This window comes from Homo sapiens, chromosome 14, assembly GCF_000001405.40.
Source record: "Homo sapiens chromosome 14, GRCh38.p14 Primary Assembly".
Classification (NCBI taxonomy): domain Eukaryota; kingdom Metazoa; phylum Chordata; class Mammalia; order Primates; family Hominidae; genus Homo; species Homo sapiens.
In genome coordinates this window covers 31930962-31951529 of record NC_000014.9, presented here as the reverse complement: position 1 = coordinate 31951529, position 20568 = coordinate 31930962, and the positions used below count along the sequence as shown (strand labels likewise).

The 20568-nt window shown below is 43.2% G+C and overlaps 1 long non-coding RNA gene across 1 annotated transcript, besides 4 other annotated features; it reads right to left on the bottom strand.

Moving 5' to 3' along the window:
* Positions 176-795: an enhancer, noted in NCBI's record as "H3K4me1 hESC enhancer chr14:32419941-32420560 (GRCh37/hg19 assembly coordinates)". NCBI's record gives its function as "activates a minimal SCP1, AML or CMV promoter by ChIP-STARR-seq in naive H9 embryonic stem cells {active_cell/tissue: H9 hESC(naive)}" and the evidence as "EXISTENCE:reporter gene assay evidence [ECO:0000049][PMID:30033119]".
* LINC02313 (long intergenic non-protein coding RNA 2313) lies at positions 1236-6677 on the bottom strand. Its single transcript, NR_146544.1, has 2 exons — positions 6422-6677; positions 1236-1441 (listed from the first exon to the last, which is right to left on the bottom strand). It is a non-coding gene; the product is annotated as a long intergenic non-protein coding RNA 2313 (long non-coding RNA).
* Positions 6196-7395: an enhancer, noted in NCBI's record as "CDK7 strongly-dependent group 2 enhancer chr14:32413341-32414540 (GRCh37/hg19 assembly coordinates)". NCBI's record gives its function as "activates an origin of replication core promoter dependent on BRD2, BRD4, P300/CBP, MED14 and CDK7 cofactors, with strong dependence on CDK7, by STARR-seq in HCT116 cells {active_cell/tissue: HCT116}" and the evidence as "EXISTENCE:reporter gene assay evidence [ECO:0000049][PMID:35650434]".
* Positions 16329-16985: an enhancer, noted in NCBI's record as "OCT4-NANOG hESC enhancer chr14:32403751-32404407 (GRCh37/hg19 assembly coordinates)". NCBI's record gives its function as "activates a minimal SCP1, AML or CMV promoter by ChIP-STARR-seq in naive and primed H9 embryonic stem cells {active_cell/tissue: H9 hESC(naive and primed)}" and the evidence as "EXISTENCE:reporter gene assay evidence [ECO:0000049][PMID:30033119]".
* Positions 16533-16827: an enhancer, noted in NCBI's record as "tiled region #2273; HepG2 Activating DNase matched - State 5:Enh, and K562 Activating DNase unmatched - State 12:CtcfO". NCBI's record gives its function as "activates a minimal TATA promoter and a strong SV40 promoter by Sharpr-MPRA in HepG2 and K562 cells {active_cell/tissue: HepG2 | K562}" and the evidence as "EXISTENCE:reporter gene assay evidence [ECO:0000049][PMID:27701403]".

Here is a 20568-nt window from a genome sequence, read left to right as displayed (position 1 = left end):
ACCAGTCCCTGACAGTACGGCCCCATCCCTAGGGGCTGATCACATAAGCCGGCTCCCCAACAGCCAGAAAAGCTGCTTCAGGCTGCTGCCTGCTTGGAGCCTCGCACTAGAGCTCTGTGTTTACACATTCGAGAGAATCGAATCTCACATAATCATATATGTGACAAAGGCCTCCGCTATAAGCAACATTAATGAAGACAAATGAATCAGCCAAATGCTGCAGCTTGCACAGCAGCACACAGGGAGGCTGCTTTGTTGGGGGAGCTCATTTCTGGCTGCGGCTCTTGCCTTTCCTGACAGAGATGTATGAGGAGCCTCCCACGGAGGGGGGCGCCTCAGCCACCGCCCCCACAGCCCCAGCTAGAGGGCAGGCGGTCAGGGGGCTTTGAGGGAATTTTCAGAAGACTCTCAGAACATGTTTACACATTTTTATGAAAGTTATCTTAGGGGAGACAGGCAAATAGAGATTAGTTGGATCCAGTGGTCTCATAGTGTTAACTAAACAAGCTCCCTGCATCCTGGCAGTTGCCGACTGGGAAAGTAGTTATGAGAATTCTCATCCCAGCCAGCGGGTAACCACGCCCCAGTAACCGCGCCCCATTCAGGCTTACTGAGTGCCTGAATCAGACCAGGATGGGGCTCGGCTCTGCAGAGTCCCCTGCTCGCCTGTAGGCCATTTGTATTGTTCTTCCCATCCATTTCTCTTTGTGACAGAAGAGCAAACACTCAACTTTGAGACTTTTACTCCAACCTCTCCTGAGGGGATGACAGCCCATTAAAAAAAAGGCATTTATAAATCAAGTGGCATGAGACTGGAGCTGGTGAAGTGGCCGTGGCTCTGTCCTGGCTCTCGATGGCTATGTTTTGATGCTTACCAGCAGCTCAGACAACCTCTAGAGGTGGAAAGATGGCATTCTCATGTGTTTCTGGTGAGAGGACATAAAAAACTGCACCCTGAAAGACAGATCTGCTTGTTGTGGAAGCATTTGACCCTGGCAGCAGGAAATCCCGCCATCCTTTCAGCGTTTGCTCTGCGTAATTCAAGAGATGGCAGGAAGGACAAGCTCTCCCTCGTAAGGGATGTCTCCGGCAGGACATTAAAAAAAAAATGTACCTTATCAGAGTCTAAATGAAACATTCTCAGAAATTTCCTGACACAAATTAAACAAGCCAATTTTATTAGATCAGTATGAAGGGGCTTGAAACTAATTAATCAATGTAGAGATCAGATCAGCCAATGACAGTGAGACAATGGAATGAAAACTTGGCAGGTCAGTGAAAGGCCTGGATTCAGACAGGGAAACAACACTAGGTTTCATTCCCCATGGAAGAAATTCCTATTGCTCAGGAAAAGACACTGAGCTGGGTGACAAATCCACTGTCATCAGCAATCTTCTTCAGGGAGTATGCTCTTAATGACACTCAGATTGATTTTCCATTCCTGGGAGGAAGAGAAGGAAGTAGAAGTGATCAGAAAACGTAAATATCTTTTAATAAACCTGGGCAGGCTGCTGGAAGAATACATGTATACAAGAGAAATAAACAATAAAAACAGTGCACTTGGGGAAATGAGTTTCCAGCATAAACAGAGTAACTATGAGTCAGTAAAATTGGAATGAAAACAGTGTGGGGCATCTTCTGATAGGACTTAGCAGCCACACCCTCTCAGTGGAGGCAGAGGGAAACTCACAGGTAGCCTTGGGCTCATCTCTCAGGTTCCAGTTTCCTCCTTCCCTAAAACAAAGGGTTGAGCCAGATGAACTCTGTGGTCCTTTCTTTCCTAAAGATGCTACTACTATTCAATACTCTTCCAGAGCTACCCTGAGAGGTGGCCAGGTCAGCAGTGACTAAAAGCTGGTGATGACTGTGTTGTGGGAGTACAGAGAGTAGGGACTCCAAAATCAAAGCTAGACCTGGTCTCACAAGCACTCATCACTTCATTGATCAGAAGCCTCTCAAAACCTAATCAAATTGTAGCACATTATATTATACTTGCATAAGACCATGCCAGCCATGTGATGGTTCAAAATGTACACATCCCGCATGTCCCCTGGAATGGTGAAAAACACTCAACTTTTGGAGCCAGAAAAAAACTGGATTCAAATCCCTGCTGCCCCACTAGCTGGTGTTGTGATTCTACACTAGTCACTGTCATACAGCAAACTATTAGTCAGCCATTAAGAAGAATGAGGTGATCTACAGGAACTCACATGGAAAGATGGCCACGATATATTATTTAAAAGTAAATAGCAGACAATTGCCAAAAGGCAGAAGCAACTCTGACGATGGTTACATAGGTAAACTAAATGTGATATATACATACAATGGAATATTATTCAACCATGAAAAGAAAGGAAATTCTGACACATCCTACAGCATGGATGAACCTTGAAGACGTTATGCTAAGTAAGCCAGTTACAAACAAATACTGTGTGATTCCATATATGAGGTACTTAAAGTCGTGAAATCCATAGAAACAGAAAGTGAATGATGATTGTCATGGTCTAGAGCGAGAGGAGAATGTGGAATTGGTGTTTTAATGGGTACAGGGTTTCAGTTTGGGAAGATGAAAAAAGTTGTAGAGATGGATGGTGGTGATGGTTGCACAACATTGGAAATGTACTTAATGCCACTGAACTATACTCTTAAAGATCGTTAAAATGCTAAATTTTATGTTATATATATTTTAGGACACTTAAAAAAGTAAATGACAGAACAGTAAATACAGCATGATCCAATTTTGGTTAAAAATTGTGAATCTATATATTGTCTACGTATAGAGGGAAGTCTGAAAGAATATATACGACAACAGTAATAGGGGTTACTCCAGGGGAGTAGGATCAAGAAGGGGTGGTAATGGATGACACAATTTACAAGTTTCATGTGCCTCGAGACATGAAGCCTTGTGTTTGGTAGGACAATGGCAATATATTCTGACTCTCAAAAACCTCTCTGTCTCAAAAGGAAAAGGTATTCCTCATTTTCTGGTCCCTCTTTCCGGGGATGCTATCTATGACTCCCCCCAGCATTTTTTTTAAGCCAAATACAGTCTAAACTCCTTAGCCTGGTATTTAAAGCCCTATACAACTGGATTGCAGCCAGACTGTTAGCATTCCTTTTTAGCTGCCTCTATGCACCAGTATAGCAACATTCCATGTTCCCTGAGCAGTTTTTTGCCTCCACGGCTTTAAGCCATTCCCTCTATAAATTGTCATTCCTTCCAATCTATGCCTGCAGATATCTTGTCCATTCTTCAAGGATGTAGTCTCTGAATCCCTTGGTGGAAGCAATGTCTCCTCCTTCCCTCAAGGCAATCATCTCATCTCCCAGTCCTGGCTTGCTTGTATACATACATGTCTTCTCTCCCCTCAGGGACCCTGTGTTCCTTGAGAGAAAAGGCCATGCCTTATGTAGCTCAGGAATGCCCATGACACTACAGTGTAATTACACAACTGCAACAATGATGATGGTGCTGACAGCACCACGCAGTGTCACCTGCACAACCATGAGAGTGGGTACCTCCCTAAATTTTGCACCCTAGGCACTTTGCTCACCTCACCTAGTCCCAGCCTACTACCATTCATTGAATGCCTTCACTGAGTGCGTCAGGCACTGTGCTAAGAAAAGACATGTATCACTTCACTTTATCTTCACAGGAGTTTACTACGTAGGTATTACCCACATTTTGCAAATGAAGAAACCACAGCTTAGAGATTAAGTAACTTGCTTAAGATCACATTGCAAAAGTGGGGATTTGAACTCAGGCTTGACTGATTCCAAAATGTGTAGTTCCAATAATTATAGCCCACTGCCTTATCAGTATACTTGAGAACACAGTAGGCATTCAATACTTGAGAACACAGTAGCCATTCAATACTTGTATGTTTAGTGAATTTAATTGGAGAGAGGTCAGCATGCTGCTGGAAGAGCACAATGACTGTCACCCTGGTCCTGTCACAAACCTCACACTGCTCTGGAGTCCTTTGACAGGGGTAGGCACCAGAAGTATCAGCGTCATTCCTGCTTGCAGCTTTCGAAAGAAACTCCATCCTGGTTCTACTGTTAGGCCCAACTACAGCTTCCCCTCACTCTCTTCCTCAATCCATTTCAGACACCCATTTCTCTCCAACAAAAACCCGGCGCTGAACTCATCTCTATAGATGGTGAAGTCAGGAAAGAGAGTGGGAGTGGCTATGAAAACCTCTCAGATTCTGACCTCAGATGCACAGACATGAGGGAACAAGCCCTGCAGACCTGACTAAACCTGGTTAACCTTTTGTGCTGTCCAAAGCACCGATGGTAAAGAACGCCAGAGGGATTCTCAGATGCTGAGAACAGATTCCAAGAGCTCTGAGAGGCATGGAAGGAGGGGCCATGTGCTGCCGGGAGAAGTGAGGACCTTTGTGATCAGTCCTACGTCAGGGGCAGACGGCCCCAGTACTTAGGTCTATCCAGGCTGGCACTGTCCACGTGTGGCCATTGAAATGTGGCTGGTGTGAATTGAGATGTGCTGTAAGTGTAAAACACATGTACGATTCCAAAGACTTAGCATGAAAAAGGAATGCCAAATATCTCATTAATCATTTTTTATGTTGATGACTGTTAAAATAAGATTTTGGAGGGTTAAGTTAAATAATATAGATTATTAAAATTAATCTCACCTGTTTCTAGTTTTTTCAATGTGGTTATAATATATGAAGTTACATAAGTGACTCACCCTTGTGCCCTGTATTATATTCTCACTGGACAGAGCTGATCTGTAGCCCCAGACTGTTTCAGACCATGCCTTACCCCACCAACCAGGGTCCAGCTGCTGGGGCTCAGCTCTATCCTAGCTTGGGTCTCTGCACAGTGGCAGCTTTGGTGACCAATATACTCTGTAACTGCTGTAATTTAGGGGTGTCCCTGACTCTGAAGCCAACTGCAGAGGTTGAGAATAAGAAATAACTACATTTTCATGCATTCACTCACATTTCTCCTCCCAACCCACCACTCTAACTGTCTTTCTTTTAGCACAACTGTTGTAAATACATGATCCCCAGAACAGCAGCATCGCATCACCTGGGAACTCATTAGAAATGCAGATTACCAGGTACCATCCAGAAACTCTGAATCAGAAACTGTGCCCAGCAATCTATGCTTTAACAAGACCCTCCCCACGAGGACATTATTCTGATGAATTCTAATGTTTGAGAACCAGGGTCTTAGGGCACTGTTTCTGAAACTTTGTAGTGTATTAAAATCATGTGGGGTGCTTTAAAAAATTCCAATGCCCAGGCCACACCCCAGGTCAAGTAAATCAGGTTCTGTGGGGGTAGAACCCAGGCATCGGATGGATGTTTGGAAAACTCTCCACTGATTCCAATGTGCAGTCACAGTTGAGCCCCATTGCCTAAGGGTAAAGAACTCAAGAATATTAGTCGGCCATTTTCCCTATGGTGGAGAGCCTGTAGCTTTGAGCCCCGTAGAGAGAAGCCTTCCTGTGGGAGGAGAAAACAGTGTGTAAAATGAAGAAAGGGGCCAAACTGGGCATGCCTAAGCTTCGAAGGCCTCTTTCATTATAGGCTAGCTGCTGTAATGAAACAGGCAATTGCACCTGAGATTTTTCTGAAGTTGAAATGACCACGTGGAAAGGGAACAGCTTCTCTCCACAGTCCATCAAGAGGGGAGTGGCCAATGGGCCGCTTGGAGGACAAAGACCAGGGACACGCCCATTATCTGAGGCTTCAGGTATATTAAAATGAAGAAATCCCCAAATAGGGTTTCAAAAATTGTGATATACTATATTTTAGAAGTTTACATTTAATAAATTAAGGCTTTAACACGTGTAAGCTTTAAAAAAAAAACGCACAGGGTAATATAACCATCCTATTCACGGGATAATGGCAGGATTAATCTTAAAAATTCATGGGCCTGGTACCAAAATCAGGCATAAGTTTAAAGCTGATGATCATTTCCATCTTTTCAGTCTTATTAGCATATCTTCAGAGATAAATTTTTAAAAATCCAAATGTGAAGTCTCTGTGAGTGTGAGATCCCTGGATGAAAGGCCCTCCTTTGCCATGCCCCTGGGGCAGACTAAGAGGACCGCTGGAAAGAGATCCTAAGTGTGGCCCTGGAGCAGCTGTGAATGATTAGGTTGTGGGAAGACAACTGACATCTGGGTGCCTTGCGGCAGCCTGACCAGGGAGGTGGTGTCAGGGAAGCCAGAGCACCCCCCTTCCTCAGTGTGTTCCAGAGCAGTACAATACCTGCCTCCCTACACATAATGGATGCCTGCCCACCACCCTCTGTCCTCAGGCACACTTGGCTGCTGACAACAGGAAGTGAAACAGCCACACCCTCCTTTGACCCTATTAAGGTAACTCCTAGTTTGATACAGAGGCTTCCGGGGAGGGAAAGAAATAAGGGAGACACTTACCTTGTGCAGCACCTGCAGTGCTGTTGGTTTATAAAAGCACGAAATCTTCTGTCCCAGAGGCTGGACTGGGCTCATGACTGCATGTGAGATTGTGCTTTGGGAAGAGAAAGCAATCCCAGACTGAACAACAATTTTCTGGTGGCAGGTGCATCCATGAGGAGCTGCAGTCGGTCCCAGCAGCATATGCTTTCTCCTCTGGGAGGGCAACTCGGAGACGTGCAGACTAACGGGACCACTGGCTGCAAGCCTCAGAAACCTCTCAGGAGGTCCCTGGCAAGGCCTGTGGTATCTGGGCAGTGCAGGCAGCCTGGGCACCATAGGACAAAGGGGCGGGGAGTGGGGCAGGGAAGAAACAGCACAGAGGAAACAGCACACCTTGTTCTCATTGACTCGGAGTCAATGGCTGCCCACAGACTCTATTTCCTGGAGATTCAAGCCTCACACTGTCCTGTCCTCTCCCCTGAGTAAGTCTTCCAGAGAGTAAGAGCCACACCCAGGCAGAGGTGGGTGAGGCTGGGGTTCAAAGTACAGAGCCAGCCCTTTTATCTCATAGGCAGAGGAAATCATCCACTGTAAACCCACAGCGTCCTCCACCAGGGCAGCGTTTGATTCCTCCGTCTCATATCTCCGCTTGCCTTCCCTGTGGGTCAGTAGTTCCTGAGTTTCTCTAGCCTATAGAAAACATGAGGAGGAGGAGGAGAGATGGAGGGGGAGGAGGAGGAGAAGAGAAGGGAAGAATGAGCACATGGACTGCCCAGCCCCAGCCCCATGGCACCAGCATGGTAAACACTTGGAGGGAGGCCAGCCGTCTGGCGCCTCCAGTCTTCCACATCACCCCAGCCAAGATTCAGACCTGTATATTCTGGGCTCTTTCTGCCCCATTTCACCCAGGCTTTAAATTACCCAGACTTGGGTCTGGGTTATTCTATCCAAAACTTTCCTCTGAAATCTAGATTGTGATGCAATGTATACGTTCTCTAAATCAGATTTCTGAGGACTAAATGCCAGACCGCGTGGCGTAGCAGTCTGGCTGCAAACCATTTCCGTCAGCCCAGCGGAGGAACGCACAACAAGGTGCTCATCCCCGCAGCCGTGCACAGGAGACAGCAACGGTCCAGGTAAATTAGAAAGGCCTAACTTGAGCCAGCTAGTCATGGCAATTTAGGGAAAGTAAGGACTACACAGAGGCTCTGGGACGGCTTGCGGAATCAATGCCTAAGTTGCTGGATTGCTCCTTCTTTGGCTATGGAGCTAGTGGTTCCAAAATCTACCCCTTGATTCCTTAAGATGGAAGACCATTTAGACAAGCTGAGCCAAAACCCAGAGTCTTGGAACAAGCCTGTAACAATAATAGCAGCAGTAATGACAATGATTTTTAATATTCCTTGCTTAACAAGTGCTGGCCACAGTTCATGTTTTACATGGATTTACTTGGGGAATTTGATCGCTGGATCGAGGTGAGGACCATCCTCACTCCTCAGCTCCCCGGAGGACAGTCCCTTCCCCTCTGCTAGTCCTTTGACACAGACCCATTTTGACTTTTCAACTTCAACATTCTAGTTCAAGTCTTGGCCAGCTGTCAGCCTGGGCTTGTTTCTTCTCATCACAAGAAAAGAAACAGGGCTGCGAAGAGTAGCAAGCCCCTGACTGCTGCCCTTAAATGAGCTAGCCTTTAGGAGAAACACCCGAAGGTCAGGAGGCAAGCACTGTTTGCTCATGGCTATTGTTCCTCTGGGGAGCTGTGAGGGTGGGGTGAGTGGGGGAGGGTCTCTCATTTTGTGACTACACAGTATATAAAAAGCTGAAATGAAAATAATTCAGAAATTATTGTTGTCTTTATAAAACAACCTGTTCTGGGGTACCTTTCTGTACTTCCCTAAGTATATTTAAAACACAATTTTAAAATTCAATTTAACAAAGCCCCATCAAGACACATGCACTGCATCGTGCACATCTGTATAAATGCTCTTAAAGTGCAGGTTTGCATGAACCTTATTTTTCTAGAGGAGTGTGTCCTCTTGGGGAAAGAGGGAAAGAAGGCAGTAAAAATAGCATCGTGTCGCTGCTGACTGTGCATTGGCCACACAGCTAAGCACAGAGTGCCTAGAGAGCTTTGGCAGGATCATCACATGTTGTCCTCACAACAGACCCATGAGGGAGGTATCTCATCCCAATTTACAGATGAAGAAACTGAGGCTCAGGAAGATCAAGTGACGTCTTCATTATCACACAGCCATTAAGAGCTGAGCTTGGTGGGAACTCAGGCTTCCGCGACTCTAAAGACTAGAACTACAGACAAGCTGCAAAGCAAGATCAGGTCAAGATATTCTCCAAAGTTATATCCCGTGGCTCCTCAGTTACAGATGTGATTGCAGAATCCTGCCACTTCTTTTCTTTTTGGTCTCCTTGTTTTCTCAATCCAGTCAGAATGAATTTTAGATGTGTCCCAAGTGCAGTCTGCCTTCAGCCGCCGAGCCACTCAGACACTTGGAGCTAGCCCAAGTAGCCCAAGTAGTAGGTCTGTGAATAAACGTCACTTCTGGAATCATTCTTCAACAAGTACAACTTGACTAGAGAGACTCAAATACCTGCACTGGTCCCAAAGAGCCATCACCCAGTGCTGCCAAGTCTGACCAAGATGCATCCTAGCTAAGGAACCAGTCACACCACTGGCTCTCACGCCATGCCTGAGAGGAGCACAACAGGAGTTTCTCCAGGAAGCTTCCCAACGTTCAGATGAGTTGCTCTCCATGTGGATTCAGCATCCTGACGAGCTGACACCAATTCCAGGCCTGGCATGTCTAACAAATGCAGCATTCAAGCCCAAGACACTGAAATTGTTACCTCATGTTATAAAGGACCTGAAGCTGCATGCAATTAGCACTGCATCTGTGAGACTTGGGAAAGACAACTGAGAGAACAGGGTCTTAAAAAGACTATTTTGGTCCATATGGAAAATTGGTGTGTTGCATGCATGGTAAAATCCTTTCAGATATATTTTTAAACCTTATGTTTTTAAAACTGGGGACTTAAATATTATTATAGGAAAAGCAGCATGATTCCTTTAACATCAGAAGGAGATCTGTAAGTTAAAAAACTGTTGGAACCTTGTAAAGAAATTAACATTGTGAATGAACTCAGGCATTAGTGCAAATTAATCAAACTGCATACATTATAATTTTTAATCAGTCATGGAATTTCAATACTTGAAGGGACCTTGGAAATCATCTGTCCCAAGAGCAAGAATTATGGAAGATAAATGGGCAGGTGGAGAAAAACCTCCTGGCTAGAGAAAGGCACAGAAAAAACAAAGAGTTGGGAGACAGCATGCACAGTGGTTTGAAAGCTCAGGGATTTGCACACACAGCCTGGGTTCGAAGCTCAGCTTTGCTTTTTGATGGCAGTATGAACCAGGCTGAGTTGTTTGACCCTCCTATGTGACAGTTTATAAACAAAAGGTTATTCTGAGTCTTAAGAGAGACCATCCATAGAAAGGGCTTAGTATGGTCCCTGGGATACCATATGGTGCCTGGGACATCAGTGCTGAGTAAATATTAGCTCTATAGAAAAAGGAATTTTACAAACATAATCTGAGTGAGCCAGACTGACACACTATGTATAACTGTGGTCTTTCTCTTTTATTTGGCTATGAAAGAAAAGCAAAATGCAGTATATTGAAGCATTCAGATTTCTGACCATGAGAACAGGACATAATACCCAAGGTCTTTTTTGGAATAAAAAATGATCTTCATAAAAGGGAATCACATTTCAGCTGTAAATAAAGTCAGACCTAATAATCAAGAAAAGAGGGCCCCATGGAGATGGTGAATCACGTATATGAGTAGGTGAAAGCTGCCTCCAAAGGTCTTGATGCAAAGCTGTCCAAGGTTTAGAACTCTGGGCACATTTCTGGCCAAAAGAGGTTCAAAATCATCATCCATGGTGTTCTGTTCTAGTCTTAAGATGGAACTAGTGCTGCATTAAGTGTCTGATTGGGAAAAGTTAATGGTTAACAAATAAGATATAACTCTCTGGGACATCTTGATATAAATTTAGTTTAGCCTTATAGTATAACAATTATTAATTATGCTGAGGGAGGGAACATAGATTGGTGGAAAACTTGTAGGCTCTGGAATAGAACAAATCCTAGAACTGTCAATTGGTACTGTGAGATCTTAAACAAGAGATACAATGTCTTCAACCTCAGTTTCCTCATAGTTGCCATGAAGGGCCAGCACAGTGCTTGCCACACAGCTGGTACCCAAGAGGCATTCATTTTCTCTTTGCATTCATTCTACATTTGTTATATTAAACAGCTCTATTTTTTTTAATTTAAATAGGTTTTTGGGGAACAGGTGGTGTTTGGTTACAAGAATAAGTTCTTTAGTAATGATTTCTGAGATTTTGGTGTACCCATCACCTGAGCAGAGGGGGTGGGAGGGGGTGAGGGATAAACAGCTCTATTTTTGGGTGGAAGAAGAGGGCTATACTTGTTTGACTCAGTTTCCAATACAGATAGGAAGCCCAGCAGTTCAGACCAACACTAAGAATAGACAACACTCTATTCAGCAGCAACACACCTGAATTACAGACACGGTGTTTGTGTGGGAATCAGCTCTGGGCTACTAATTTCCCAAACCCAAACCTATAGTGGCAGAAAAGACAGCTGTACTCAGAGCAAGAGACACGTCTTCATCCTATTTCTGTTACTAGCTAGCCTTTTTACCGTAGGCAAGCCACTTAACATTTAACCTGTGTGTCTGGCTCCAAATCTACAAAATGAGGGCTTTGACCAGATAACATCCAAATTTCCTTAGAGCTCTCAAAATTCTATGTTTTTATAGTTTGGGTTCATGCTGTTTGTTAACGTGTGTGACCACTTCTACTCCAAAAGCCACAGGGCCCTGCTCCATGTCCTCCACCTTGGTTCAAGCCATGATTTTTTTCCTAGGTTAGCGGCTCCATATTAACAGCAGTTGCACAAACAGAATCTAAGTGAGCGAGGCTGCCAGCTGTCACTACTGTATCTTCTGCTTACTCTGGAGATCAGCCGAAGCTGTGTGATCCCAGAATAAATGGATCTGCCATGAAGATAGGATTTTACTGCAAAAATGAGTTTTCTGATGGGTTTAAAGCCACAAAAATACTCTGAAGGCTGTTTTATACCTAAATCATGCTATATGAATTAAAAAGTAAAACACAACCTCTCATACCTCTTCAGGTTTTAGTTTCTTGTGGCTGATATAAATTTCACTTAACTCCCAACTGACATACGCAAAAACATTTTTTGGGGTCAGAATTCAAAATAAAATAGGGGCACATGCCAATTGTAACCCCATACAAACCAATGGGGGCAAGGGCTGGTTTTATAGAATGTTAAGCACCTCATGAAACTAAAGGTTTGATTCATCACTGTAGCTTTATAGTTTCCTTGACACTTAGCAGTGTTTTGTACCTAGCAGGCTGGAAGCTGTTTGAAGGCAGAGATGATACTTCATTCATATCTAACATAGTGCACTGGTATATTGGAAGTACATGTATTATCTGGCATAGTGCACTGGTATAGCATAGTATTATCTAGCATATCATATCCAGCATAGTGCACTGGTATATTGGAAGTACATTAGTTTGCTAGGGCTACCATAACCAAATACTGCAGACTGAGTGGTTTAAACAACGGAGATTTATTTTCTTACAAGTTTGGAGGCTAGAAGCCTGAGATCAAGGTGTCAGCAGGGTTAGTTTCTTCTAAGGCCTCTCTCCTTGGCTTGTAAAAGGCCATCTTCTGTCTGTGTCTTCTCGTAGTCTCCTCTCTATACACACCTGTCCAAATTTCCCCTTCTTATAAGGATACTAGTAAAATTGGATTAGGGCCCACCCTCACTTTAATTACGTCTTTATAGACATATCTCCAAATATAGTCACATTCTGAGGTACTGAGGGTTAGGACTTCAACATATGAATTTGGGGTGATAGGCGGGACAATTCAGCCCATAACATATGCTGAGTAAGTAGTGTATGCATAAATGGTGGATGGATGGATGGATGGATGAATAGATGGATAGATTAATGGATGGATGGATGGTTAACAATCAGGTGATCAACAAATACTTGATGCATTGAGTAAATTCACACAATCACTTGTGGAGACTGGGTTTTACTATAATATCACCCCAAAGATTTTAAATTATATATTTTAATCCAGCCTTACAAGAAAGTTTAAAAATCATTGCCTATCAAATTCTATCAAGCTAACAAAAAAAATAGCCACACCCAGACTTACGAATGCCATTTCCCTATCCTAATCATTCCCATCTTTAATGACTTCCTATAGCTGAGAGAACACCAGTATTTGCCTACAACAAATAACTACTACTTCTCCCATGAATACCTACATACTTAAAAACCTTCACATTAAGAAAACAGAAAGGAGGCCGGGCATGGTGGCTCACGCCTGTAATCCCAGCACTTTGGGAGGCTGAGGCAGGTGGATCACTAGGTCAGGAGATCAAGACCATTCTGGCTAACACGATGAAACCCCATCTCTACTAAAGATACAAAAAATTAGCTGGGCATGGTGGCGGGAGCCTGTAGTCCCAGCTACTCAGGAGGCTGAGGTAGGAGAATTGCTTGCACCCGGGAGGTGGAGGTTACAGTGAGCTGAGATCACACCACTGCACTCCAGCCTGGGTGACACAGCAAGACTCTGTCTCCAAAAAAAAAAAAAAAAAAAAAAAAAAGGATTAAGAGAACAGTTTTAGTTAAATCTGTTGCCTGATATTTCATTGTTTGATTGCCTCTAACTGAACCTGGCTAGTACTTAGTTTCTAGGTTGCCTTAACACTTTGATTCCATTCAACAAACTACAGAAATGCCCCATAGAATTGAAGGTAAGAGGAAATATGCCTACCAGGGACCTCAAGAAATCTTCCTTCTGATTCATCTGGTCACTGCGAGTGTTTGTTACATCTCTAATGATATAGAAAGTCATAAGCCAACCCTCCATCACCAACGTTCCTTCTCTATTTTTCTGTCTATCAAATGAAGTTGGTCATATGTAAACCTATCAAGGGAGTTGTAGGTGCACACCTAGACAAGGGTCAGAGGAGTGCCTGAGCTCCCCTGCCCTGACCTCAATGCCCTGAGTCATGTTGCTGGCTGCAGTTCTGACTCAGAGCTCCCACAGTATCAGCCTACATCATGACAGGAAGTGCCGCCAGAAGTCATGCTCAGCTCTACTGAATGAACTGTTTGTCACAGCTAGTATGAAACTGATTCACTGGTGTCATGGGACCATGTAGGCACTCACTCATTCATTCATTCATTCATTCATTCTTCAGTCATCCATTTCCTACTGGAATCTTGTCTAACAGAAAAGCTATAGCATAGCATCTCTTGAAACAACTGTGATAATTTTAAAAGTCCTGTTATGATTTATACCATTTTTGTCCTTAAAAATTATAACAGAGCAATAGATGGGTTGTGTGAGTTCTGTCTGTATAATATGTGATTTAGGTATTAAAATTTAAAGACAAATTTATGGAGGCCTTTTGTCTGTGACAGTGATGAATTATCTTGGCTCTGACCCTTGGGCAAACTGGCTACACTAAACTTAGAGTTCACACATGCAGCGGTTCCTCTGCTGCCTTCCCCGAGGCTTCCTGAGACAGATAGTATGAATTAATATTTTCTTTTTTTTTTTTTTTGAGACGGAGTCTCGCTCTGTCGCCCAGGCAGGAGTGCAGTGGCGGGATCTCGGCTCACTGCAAGCTCCGCCTCCCGGGTTCACGCCATTCTCCTGCCTCAGCCTCCCAAGTAGCTGGGACTACAGGCGCCCGCCACTACGCCCGGCTAATTTTTTGTACTTTTAGTAGAGACGGGGTTTCACCGTTTTAGCCGGGATGGTCTCGATCTCCTGACCTCGTGATCCGCCCGCCTCGGCCTCCCAAAGTGCTGGGATTACAGGCGTGAGCCACCGCGCCCGGCCTGAATTAATATTTTCACAGGCATTGCTAGGCATGATGTCACTTGATTTTGGCTCCAGGTGGAGGATGGGGCCCATGAGGTTCAAGGTTCCCCACTCCGCAGAGTTTTTTCCCCATTCCTACACACCCAGACATTTGTATCGAGAATTGATCAAAATGCATTCATGTGCTATAACTTCTTGTCAGGGATTCAAACCAAGTGATTTCTGACCTCTCTCCATCTGCCTCTCTTTTAAAAATATGTTTTAATTGTCTTGTTTTAGACATGTTTTATTGTAAATTACTTCACATTCTTTTTGAGAATAGGTGGCATGTAAATCATAGTTGAAGAAAAACCTTCAAGCCAGCATAATATTCCCAGAGCACAGAAAGCTCAGTGGGGAGGGGGCAAGGAGAGGCTGGTTGCCCTTGGGCCCACCCATTAGGTGTACCTGTCACTCCCACCATCAGGCTCTGTTCTCTGCAGGCTGAGGGATGATGGAAGAACAATCCAGAGGTCTGTTAGGAGCCCCACTCTGTCAGAAGCAGAGCATCCAATTCACTCAGGCCTTGCTCTACTGACAACTTCATGTCACAGAGGGACAAGGATGTTGTGAGGGAGCTACTGCTTGGATCTAATTTTGGCCATTAAAGGTGAACTAGGTGGATAACACAATGGAATCGACTGGCACTTAGACAGAAAAGGACCTTGTCACTATGTGATTCTCAAGAGCCAAGGAAGTGAATGCAAGCCGTCTATGTTCCTGAGACTGCAAGAATGAAGAACTCTACAAGTCCAGAGAAAAGAAGGTGATTCAGTGGATTAAATCTCAGAGGGCAGCAGAATGTGGAGGTTAAAGTACACGCTCAGGAATCTGGACAGACCTGAGTCAGGCTCTTGGCGCTGTCCTTACGGCTGTGCAAATGTCACCTCTCTGTATCTCAATATCCTCATCTGTAATCGTGAATAATAAGACCTACCTTATATGTCAACATTGAGAATTAAATGAGATCACATATATAAAGCCCCTAGTATGGTTTACTATTATGGTGAACACTCAGTAAAGGTTATTATTGTTGTTATTATTGTTACCATTATTGCAGACTTCCTATATGTAAGGCACAAGGCTAAATGCTCTTTGATTCCATGGTCAGAGACTCTAATCATGTAGAACTTGGTTCTAGAAAGACTGGAGGCTCCACCTAATTTAATTCTGACTCTACTCTGGAGAGGAGGAAGAGAGGGAACTATCCAAAAAAATTACTGTCTCCAATGAGCTTATATTTTACAAGGACACTCACAAAGGCAGGAAGGAGGAATTTGCAGCCAACAGCAGATACAAAGGAGTGGCATCAAAAGAAAGAATCAAGTCACGGAAGTAGAAGGCTGGGGCACAGGAGAATGCACACATAAAATACACCAGGAGCCACTGGGGTGGGTTCAGAACAAGAAAAAGAACAAGAGAAGAGTTTGGCCTCCTGCTGGGGGCAGATGACACAGTTAATTTAGAGATGATACAGTGAAAACAGAATTACTCAACTCCTAGTTTGCTTCCATCTTCTTTATCAGGAATGACCTTCGAGCCAGAAAGAAGAACAAAAATATGGCCAAGAGGAAATTAAAGTCTGTGATAGTGAGGAAGTAGGAGGAGAGCACCTGGCTGCTGCATTTAAGTCTCCAGCCTCAGATGAATTACATCTCAGCACCGTCTATACAGGCACCCCAATACTCACTGCAACAGGAACAGTAAAATAAGCAGCTCTAGGACCCTAAAATAACAGGAATTCATTTACAATATCTGACATCTGAAAAAAATGGAAATATTATAATATATGAGACTTTATGAAGCATGGTAGAACTTGCAGAAACTTGCAGAGGGGCAAATGTCTCCGTTTTATTAACAGGGACTTTTAGCAAAATTCTAACGCAGCTTAGACACCTTGTGTTGACCCAGGAAGATGAATGCTGGTCAGACTAACCTCATCTCCTCTCTGACAGGGTTCCTCAGGTAGTAACTGTTCCATTGTCTAGTTAGAAAATGGTGACAAACAAGTCAGCACACTTTCTTTGTGGACAAGGTAGAGAAATACAAGCTCCATGATAATACAGTAAGGAATATTCAGAGGAGCTCAGCTATAATCCGCTAAAAGGACTGGAGAACAGGATAATATTATTCTGTACAAAGATGTGAATTGGCACATGACTTGGTCTTCAGTGCCTCTCTATACAAAAACAGTAATGATCTGCAAGACAAAGGAAGTTTGCTGACATCTGCTGGGAGAAAGATCAGGAGGCAGCTGGTGAGGTGGAGGAGGGGTTGAGAGCTCAGGCTGCGGAAGTAGAGACCTGTTGGAATCCCAGCTCTACCACTTACTAATTGTGTGATGTTAAAGAAGTTACTTACACTATCGGACTCAATTTCCCTATCTGGAAAGTGGAGATAATGATTGTATATACCTTACTATATGAGGTAGATTAAATTAGTACGTAAAGCATTTAGAATAGTACCTGATTATAGAAATTATCATTATAAATGGGATCCCATTATAAATGGGATCACTTTGTGTCAGGAAGTGATGGAATCTCACAAGATGAAAGCTGTAAAAATAAGATATTGACTATAACTTACACTACCCCAGAAGGAAAACAACCTAAAAGTCTAACAATAGGAGACTTATAGTACATACATATGATAGACTATTACAGCCATTAAAATCATGTGGCAGGCAACAAAAGCAAAAATAAACAAGTGGGACTACATCAAATTAAAAAGCTTCTGCACAGCAAAGGAAACAATCGAAATGAAAAGGCAGCCTACAGGTTGGGAGATAATATTTGCAAACCATATATTTGATAAGGGGCTAATATCTAAAACATATAAGGAACACACACAACTCAAAAGCAAAAATATGAATAACCAGATTAAAATATAGGCAAAGGACCTGAATAGACATTTCTCCAAAGAAAGTATAAAAATTACTTTTTATACTTTCATAACCAACAGTTATATGAAAAGGTACTCAACATCACCAATCATCATGGAAATGCAAATCAAAATCACAATGAGATATCATCTCACACCTGTTAGGTTGGCTATTATAAAAAGACAAGAGATCAGTGTTGACAAGGGGATGGAGAAAAGGAACCCCTTTGCAATGCGGTGGGAATGTAGATTGGTGCAGCCATTGTGGAAAACAGTAGGGAGGTTCCTAAATAAACTAAAAATAGAACTGTAATATGACCTGGCATCCTCTTCTGGGTATATACCCAAAGGAAATGAAATCACCGCCTCGTAAAGATAACTGTGCTCTTATGTTCACTGCATTATTCACAATAGCCAAGATATGGAACAACTAAAGTTGTCCTTCAACAAATGGATGAAAACAGAAATTGTGTTGTGTGTGTATATGTATCTATAGATATCTATAGATATCTATATATATCTATAGATATATATACACAATGGGATATTAGTCACCCTTAAAAAAGGAGATCCGGCCATTTGTGACAACATAAAAAGGACATTATGCTAAGTGAAATAAGCCAGACATAGAGAAAATATTATATTATCTCACTTATATGTGGAATCTTAAAAAAATCAAATACACTGGGCGTGCTGGCTCACGCCTGTAATCCTAGCACTTTGAGAGGCCAAGGCGGGCGGATCACAAGGTCAGGAGTTCAAGACCAGCCTGGCCAATATGGTGAAACCCTGTCTCTACTAAAAATACAAAAATTACCCGGGCTTGGTGGTGGGTGTCTGTAGTCCCACCTACTTGGGACGCTGAGGCAGGAGAATCGCTTGAACCCAGGAGGCGGAGGTTGCAGTGAGCCAAGATCGTGCCGCTGCACTCCAGCCTAGGAGACAGAATGCGACTCCGTCTAAAAAAAAAAAAAAAAAAAAAAAAAATCAAATACATAGAAGCAGAGAGTAGAACAGTCATTACCAGTGGCCAGGGGTGGGAGAATGGGAAGACGTAGATCACAGGGTACAAATAAACAAGCAAATAAATATGTACATAAATAAAAATACAGTCATGTTACAGAAGACTAATTACTCTAATAAGGAAAATGAATCAGGGAAAGGGAAAGGAGAATGATGGAGGCAGAGGTACTGTTTGGGCAAGGTGGTCCCTGAGAGAGGGTATGGGATCAGGGGCTGAAATGGACTGAGCCTCGTAGCGCTGGGGAAAGCAAATGCTCTCAACAGGAAAGGGCTTGAGCTGGAAAGAAGCCCTGGAGATGGAGTAGGTAAGCAGAGGGGAGAACAGAAGGAAAGGAAGAACGAAGCTGGAGAAGGCCCATCACACAGGCCCCTGCAGGCCAGAGTAAGGAGCGATTGGGGTTTCATTTTACGTGATATGGGAAGCCACTGGATGACTCTGAGCAGGAGAGAGTCAGGATTTTAAAGGATCACAATGGTTATTTTTTGGAGAACAGAGTGTAGGGGAGTAAGAATGGAAGCAGGGAAACCAATTTTAGGGGATAGTAGTTTAGTAGTTTTACAGTAGTTTAAGAAAAAGATAGAGGTGACTTATGTTGGGAAAAAATGGTGAAAAGTGTCAGACTCAGGATATATTTTGAATGGCAAACAGCATGATCCTAATTTTATAAAAAAGAAGCACATACACATATTGGAAATATACATATGCAGATATTAACAGAGGTTATCTCTGGATCATGCTGTTCATGGTAACTTTGATTTCCTTCTTTGTACGTTTCTGCATTTTCAAAGTTTCCACAACAAACTTGTAGTATTTAATCAGAAAAAAAGAAGATATTTTTGGAAAAGGTATCTCTTTTTTTTCTAAAAGGAAAAATGAAAGGCAGGCCAAGTGAGGTGTGGACGAGCAACAGCCTAAGTAAAGAGATGTCAAGGATCTGACTGACCATAATTTCAATACTGACAGTGTAAATGACTAGCAGAAATAGTAATGTCTCCTAAGATATACTAATAATATTAGTATACTATTATACTAATATTAGTATTATTAAACATACTAGTAATAGGACATCGTGCACTCTGGGGAGGCAGGTGATTGTCCCCTTCCACTCTGCTTTATTCAAGCCCACCCCTGGTGTAGCATGTACACTTCTGGGCACCAAAATCTAAGATCCAATTGAGGCTGGGTGTGGTGGCTTGTGCCTCAGCTGGATCTTAGATTGGATCTTAGATCCCAGCATTTTGGGATGCTGAGGCAGAAGGATCACTTGAGGCCAGGAGTTCAGGACCAGCTTGGCCAACATAGTGAGACCCTGTTTCTACAAAGAATAAAAAAAAAAAAAAATAGCTGGGCATGGTGGCTACTTTAGAGGCTGAGGTGGGAGGATTCTTTGAGCCCAGGAGTTTGAGACCTTAGTGAGCCATCATTGCACCACTGCCCTCCAGCCTAGGTGACAGAGTGAGAACCTGAAAGAAAGAAAGAAAGAAAGAAAGAAAGAAAGAAAGAAAGAAAGAGAGAAAGAAAGAAAGAGAGAGAGAGAGAGGAAGGAAGGAAGGAAGGAAGGAAGGAAGGAAGGAAGGAAGGAAGGAAAGAAAAGAAAGAAAGAAAGAAAGAAAGAAAGAAAGAAAGAAAGAAAGAAAGAAAGAAAGAAAGAAAGAAGGAAAGAAAGAAAGAAAGAAAGAAAGAGGCCGGGTGCGGTGGCTCACGCCTGTAATCCCAGCACTTTGGGAGGCCGAGGCGGGTGGATCACGAGGCCAGGAGATCGAGACCATCCTGGCTAACACGGTGAAACCCTGTCTCTACTAAAAAATACAAAAAATTAGCCGGGCATAGTGGTGGGCTTCTGCAGTCCCAGCTACTCCAGAGGCTGAGGCAGGAGAATGGCATGAACCCAGGAGGCGGAGCTTGCAGTGAGCCGATATCGAGCCACAGCACTCCAGCCTGGGCCACAGAGCGAGACTCCGTCTCAAAAAAAAAAAAAAAAAAAAAAAGAAAGGAAGAATCCAACTGAACTAGAAGAGAACAGTCAGGACTGGGAGGGGACTTCAAAGCATGCACTGTAATAATGGGGGTAGTTACTACCCAATGAGCACCCACTCTGTGTCAGGCACTTAAAAAATGTGCAGTATTTAAGATATGAGATGCTCACTTGAATGGAAGGAAAAGGGTGGCAAATGAACATTTTTTGAACACTTAAAGAGCCAGTGCGAATCACTTTTCACACTTTATTGCATCCAA